The sequence below is a fragment of the Homo sapiens genome, chromosome 10 (assembly GCF_000001405.40).
Source record: "Homo sapiens chromosome 10, GRCh38.p14 Primary Assembly".
In the NCBI taxonomy this organism is placed as follows: Eukaryota; Metazoa; Chordata; class Mammalia; order Primates; family Hominidae; genus Homo; species Homo sapiens.
Window position 1 is genome coordinate 55,821,173 of NC_000010.11, and position 6,570 is coordinate 55,827,742.

The 6,570-nt window shown below is 37.4% G+C and overlaps 2 annotated features.

Moving 5' to 3' along the window:
• Positions 761-1,342: an enhancer, noted in NCBI's record as "OCT4-NANOG-H3K27ac hESC enhancer chr10:57581693-57582274 (GRCh37/hg19 assembly coordinates)". NCBI's record gives its function as "activates a minimal SCP1, AML or CMV promoter by ChIP-STARR-seq in primed H9 embryonic stem cells {active_cell/tissue: H9 hESC(primed)}" and the evidence as "EXISTENCE:reporter gene assay evidence [ECO:0000049][PMID:30033119]".
• Positions 1,343-1,923: an enhancer, noted in NCBI's record as "OCT4-NANOG-H3K27ac hESC enhancer chr10:57582275-57582855 (GRCh37/hg19 assembly coordinates)". NCBI's record gives its function as "activates a minimal SCP1, AML or CMV promoter by ChIP-STARR-seq in primed H9 embryonic stem cells {active_cell/tissue: H9 hESC(primed)}" and the evidence as "EXISTENCE:reporter gene assay evidence [ECO:0000049][PMID:30033119]".

The following is a 6,570-nucleotide window of genomic DNA, read 5'->3' on the forward strand; positions in this document are numbered from 1 at the left end:
TATTACCTTTTGCCCCCAAAATATCACATAATAGGCATACTCTGATACAAGTAATAAATTAAAATTAAATTGCCTTTGGTACTTACAAATTGTCTTGATAAAATGGGACTCTGTGAGCTCCCAATTAAAATAGTTAAAATGGCAAGATATAAGTTAAAACAGGGAAGTACTTCAAGGATTAAAATGTGTTATATTAGACATAATAAACGGGTGATTATTCTCACTACTACTCCATTTGACAGCCCAATTTTGCCTGTTGTGAAACCTGAAATGAATAAATTGCATCTCATCATGGATTAATGCAATCTTAAAGCCATGGTGCCATCTATTAAGCCCTCATGCCCAATGCCCAACATCATTAAAATTACTAATTTCATTCAATCAGCAACTGGTAAATATTTGCCATTTTAGATTTAGCTAATGTGTTCTATTAAGTGCCTTTTCAGCAGCCTCTCAGCCAGTTTTCCTTCATCTCCAAAGAGATGTGACAAATTTTGCTAGATTATCCAGGAGGGACTTCAACTGCTTTGCCATCACACACTATCTTTGCAGACACACTATCTTAACTGTATCCCATTTCTCCAGGAACATAGGTATGATATTACATTGAAGACATTCTCCTCTGAGGAGATTCGTTTGACACGCTTATTAAGGACAAACAAATTCAACATCTTTTAGCCCTATTTTGGTACTGGAGGCAACTTAGTACTCATACAAATTTTACTTCATCTCACTGATGCTACTAAGTTACTAATCAGTACACCTTAACTAGAGCCCCCTCCAAAAACAGCTCTAGAATATGTCCAAATTAAAATCAATAGGTACTTTTGTTAGTGCCCTTAGAGACTCCTTCACTGTACAGGCTCTAACTACTTCCTCTCATGCTGTAACTGAGTACCCCCATTTTTCTAAGAAATAGTGTTTTTTTTTTGTTTGTTTGTTTTTAAATAATAATTTCTCTTCTTTTTTACTTTCTTTTCCTCTGGTTTCCCACTTCCTACATAGTCTTTAGAAATGCAAATACAGCCTTTGACCGCCCTTCCAACAGACTATCCCTACAGTGCAAATTCAACTATGTGCTCCAAGACCAAACAGAGTTAACAGTTGATTTACAAGCCAAAGCATGCTGCTACATAACTTTCACCCTCCAGGGGGTTGCCTTCAGAGATAACAGCTTGCCCAGAAAGGCACCAGAAGTCTGCAGCTGGATCAGACAGTAGATACAGCATCAGAGCTAGCATGCACCCTCTGCTCCCTTCCCCTGCACCATTTTGCTCATTTCCTCCCTTGCCTTGTGTTTTGTTTTGTTTTGTTTTGTTTTGTTTTTGAGATGGAGTCTCTGTTGCCTAAGCTTGAGTGCAGTGGTGTGATCTCAGCTCACTGCAACCTGTGCCTCCTGGGTTCAAGAGATTCTCCTGCCTCAACCACCCGAGTAGCTGGCCCTGCAGGTGTATGCCACCATGCCCAGCTAATTTTTGTATTTTTAGTAGAGACAGGGTTTCACCATGTTGGCCAGGCTGGTCTCGAACTCCTGACCTCAAGTGATCAACCTGTTTGGCTTTCCAAAGTGCTCCCTTGCCTGCTTTCTGCTCCAAAAGTGAAGCTGTAAGGTAAGACACATGTGCCTCTTTCCCTAAGCTAGCTCCAGAATCAATCAATTTCTTTGTGTCAGACCTAACTCTAATTAATCAGACTCTGCATGTGGTGAGCAACTAACCTTTTGTTTGGTTACAATGCTTCCTGGAGGCTCTGGACCAACTATGATGGCCAAGAGTTGCCCATGAGGTTCTGTTATAAAAATATCCTTCTCAGTCCCATATTATATACCATTAGAATAAAGTTTCTGGGCACATATTAAGTTATCCTGGATATAAAGCCCCTTACAGCCCCTTAGCTTGTGACTGTACATACTCAGCTTCCTATTATGCTCAGGTGATGAAAGCAGCTCCCTACAAGTTCTGCACAGCTACTGAGGCTCCCCACACACAGGTTTGACCCAAACCTGGGCCCACTGGCATATTCAACATGCAAGGGTGGGTGACTCCCCTTTTTCACTTCCTTGACAGATGCCACAATATTAGAGGATAGAGGAGATTATCAGGCCTCTGAGCCCAAGCCTGCACGTATATATCCAGATGGCCTGAAGCAACTGAAGAATCACAAAAGAAGTGAAAATGGCCGGTTCCTGCCTTAACTGATGACATTCCACCATTGTGATTTGTTCCTGCCCCACCTTAGCTGATCAATTAAATTTGTGAAATTCCTTCTCCTGGACAATAAGTCTCAGAAGCTCCCCCACCAAGCACCTTGTAACAACCCCTGCCCCCTGCCCGCAAGAGAAAAACCCCTTTTGACTGTAATTTTCCACTACCCACCCAAATCCTATAAAACTGCCACACCCCTATCTCCCTTCGCTGACTCTCTTTTCGGACTCAACCCTCCTGCAGCCGGGTGATTAAAAAGCTTTATTGGTCACACAAAGCCTGTTTGGTGGTCTCTTCACACGGACCCGCATGACAGAGATGACCCCTTTTCTAGAGCCCTTGGCTACCTGAGGAGCACCTTCTGAATAAATTAGTGAATAACAATGAAAGTTCATAGACTGTATAGATGACATTGCTGCCATTATAAGTGGTAGTGGTCAGGAGAATGTTGCTTCTTTCTCTATTCCTTAACTAGGATTTCACAGATAAAGGACAGGCCAAAGGGTCAGCACAATTAGCTTTCTTATCACTGGATGCCCTGGCCGATAAATGGCCTAATTTGCACTTTTTTTTTTTTTTTTTTTTTTTTACAAAATCATGGTCTACTGTCTAAGACTTATTCCTTTTATCCCTGCCTTTCCAGGATAAAGAATTCTATAGATTTCTTGCCTCATAGATACCTAAAATACAAATTAAGGTCCCATTTTTTTCTACGTATACTAAGGTCACAATACAGAGCCTCAGCAAGAGATGCCTTACCCTCCTTATCCTTAGTATAACCATGGTACACCTTTCAAGTCTCAAAATACACAGTGTTGGGCTTTAGAAAAAGACATTCAATACAACTTGTAGGCAGATGGTTTAATTAAAACTGTAGTAGTCTCCTTAAACAATTCCTTTTCAACCTTAGTCCAGCAGATAGACCCATCAATAGGTCTCTATTTTGCCACAGGCTTTAATTTCTTTTAATTCAAGGTACCTTGACTATTCACACCTCATACCAATTTAAAAAACAAAAGCAAAAACTAAACACTTAACCATCTTCCTTTTCTGTGTTTAAAGTTGGTTATGTCTCAACTCTATGTATATGAAAACTCAATATGTATGAGGCCCTTTAATAATGTCTCCTCATTTATTGTTAACAGATTTTCAATCATGCCTCTCTTCTTTAGGGCTAAAGGCCAGAGTAACTGTGAATATTCTCTTGAGACCTGTTAACCATAGATTGTCCAATAGGCCAGGAACCTGTCCATTTAAAATGAGACCCATTTGAACTTCAACTTCTACCACTCAAAATCCTTCAATATTTAGATCATAAGGGTTGGATCACTCATCTAGCTCTCCTTCAGGAAATTAAAATTAGTTCCCTAGGACCATTCCTACAAGCCATGTAGACTACCCAGAAGAGAGAATAATACAAACAAACAAAAAACAATACTTAGTAAATGAATATCATATTCAGAGATAATAATGGAATCAGTACTGTGTGCCATAATAAAACCCAAAAATTCCTCCTGGTAATAATGCATGCTGGATAAAATTAATATCAGACAACAAAAGCCAGTCAAGTCAACCTGCACACAAGTGTGTTGACTGTTGGCTTTATTATTATTATGGGTGATTTTATTGGTTTGCAATCTAGATGCCCAAACTCCATGGAAGATGTTGTTTTAACCAAACATAGCAAATACTGAAGCCTATGTGTCATCAACTTTAGCTAACACAAACCATGAAGCCCAAAGACACTGCTGGCTTGCCTGTCATCAACTGAACCAACAAGTGAGGTAAAAGGCCCATAATAATTGGCCAAAGTAGAAGCCCTGCCTAGTGGCTAATTCTGGACTTCCAGTTTCTAGCCTCAGATATTTTTATTGGCAACAACCTAACACCTATCGACAACATGCACCAAAATTAGGCCATGTAAATTAAATCTTATTCCCAAAAGAGTCTCTCATTACCCATCTTGATAAATCCTTTCACCATTGAACAATTTTACATTTGTGTATCCTTAATTGGGCTTTAATTGTGCCAGTCAGTTTCTGGCACTTTGGCCTATTACAAGAGTATCATGGACGCCATCATCACCTTTGCCAGCTGTGCCCATAGAAGTCCTTAACTTAAAATATTTTGTCAATTGAGCTCCCACAGCTTACTTTCAAATTCTACAATCAGTTAATTTTCATTTCAATACCATAGAGCCAAAAAAACATATAACCCATATCAACCCTGCTGGGTATCTGCTTGGGAAGGGTACTCCAGTCCCACATATTAGATGACATCATCTTGGCCCAAGAGCTTTTCAGAGATCACATTGCCTTGGCACAATACCTTGCTATTGGAAATAACTTTGATCCTACACAGGGCATGACTTCAACCAGGATACTAGACTACAGTCTCAGAAATGCCCATAGGCCACCTGCCCTAAAGCACTTACAAATGGGACACTGAAGAAAGCATTTATTGCTTTCTATCTTTAGTATTAGAGATTTTATTATATTTCCTGAATTAAGCCTATGATCTTGGTGTACGCTGCTTTCTGCCAAGTGTACACACTTACATTACCATGCCTAAAGGGCAGTCTTGTAGAGGTTACTAGTATCTGTGCCATTCTACAAAATAAGGCAAATTGCTTTCCCAAGGAGGCAAGTGTTGGCTCCACTACCTACTTAGGCATCATGTAATCTTGAAGAATTTACTAATGTTTCCATGCCATAGTTTTCTCATCTATAAAATTGAAATGTGAATTATTTCTACTGTAGAAATATGAGGATAAGAGGAGTTAATATATTTAAAGTGATTATAACAAATGACTGGAATTCATGAGTACTCAATAAATGTGAGCTATTATCATTAAGAACTACAAAGATAAGAACATAAAGAGCAAAAGACATGTAAAGGCAACTGCTCAAGATACTTTAAATAAGATACAAGAAAAAAATCAAGTCATAAAACAGTAAGATATCATTTATCAACTATCACAAAGCATGTTTTTAACTCCTACCTAAAGTTACAAAATGTTTGCTCATACATAATGTTATTAAAAGTGAAGAGCAATGGCCATTTTCATTCATTTCTGGTGGGGGTGTAAGCAACTTAGTTTCTGTGGAAAACAAATTGATAATTTGTTAGCATTTAAAGGGCACACATCCTTCCACTTAGCAATCCTTCTACTATGAATTAACCTTGTAAATACAGAAACAAAAATGTCTCAAATGGAAACACCCTCATATGCACACTTTTCCCTTTATGCAATCATACAAAAATATTTAGTGAATAGTTGTGGGTTAAGAAATTAGGAAGAGCCACCTCCACCTTTTATTTTGTAATATTAGACAAAATAATAATATATACAATGCGAATATATCCACACATAGGCATACACACATGTCTAATGTGTAATAATAATAATTATTATTATTTAGATTGGCAAATGTTATCTGGGAAGGAAAATGATGTTTTCTTTATTACAGTTCACCTCATTTAAAAATTAAAATGTGTAACTTTTTTATTTTTAAAATATTGAAATGTTGAAGCTGTAATCATCGTAAGAGAAATTTAAAGTAGTCAAAAGTGGGTAAGAAATGTTGATACATTATAAAATAAAAAGGAATATATTTACACTGTATAAAAAGTGAACACACACACACACACACACAAATCCTAACCAAAAATAAAGCTGGGATCAGTGATAAACACACAGTTATTTCATATAGTGCCTGGTATATGGTCAGTGCTCTCTATTACTCTATTAGTTGTTGCTAATACAGTTGAGTGTTTGTATTTATTTTAGAATATGAGATGAATAAGGCAGAAAACTGGATGTTTTCAGAAAATAAACTTAGTTTTAACACAGACAAAATTTTCAATAATGATGAGGTCTTTAAAATATCTTTGAATGAAAGTCTAAGATTATGAAAATCTAAAAGAAGATTATGCCAGTTAGAAGCCTTTACAAATAAGATTTCTCTTGCTTTGGCAGAGACAATGAGTTTGCCTGTGGGTTTTTCAGGAAAAAAAAAAATCTGTGACCCATAATCTATTATGACTGGATGGTGAATATTTCGAGAAAATACAGGATTATAAAATCCACAGGGTCAGCTAATTTTTATAATAAATCCATGTCCTCCCTGTGAGATATATATATATATCTCACATATAATACGCACATACATGCATGCACACGTAGTATTTAAAGCCAACATAGACAAATCCAAAGCAGAAGTTCAAAGTGGACATTTCCTAAGGAAATGAGGTGGAGAGAGATCCTTTTTCAGGAGTTAAGTTATTTTAGAAAGAAATGAACCATATGAGCAGCAGGTGTGTATGCTAATAGAATGACTCCACATTTTAATTAAGCAGTATTTCC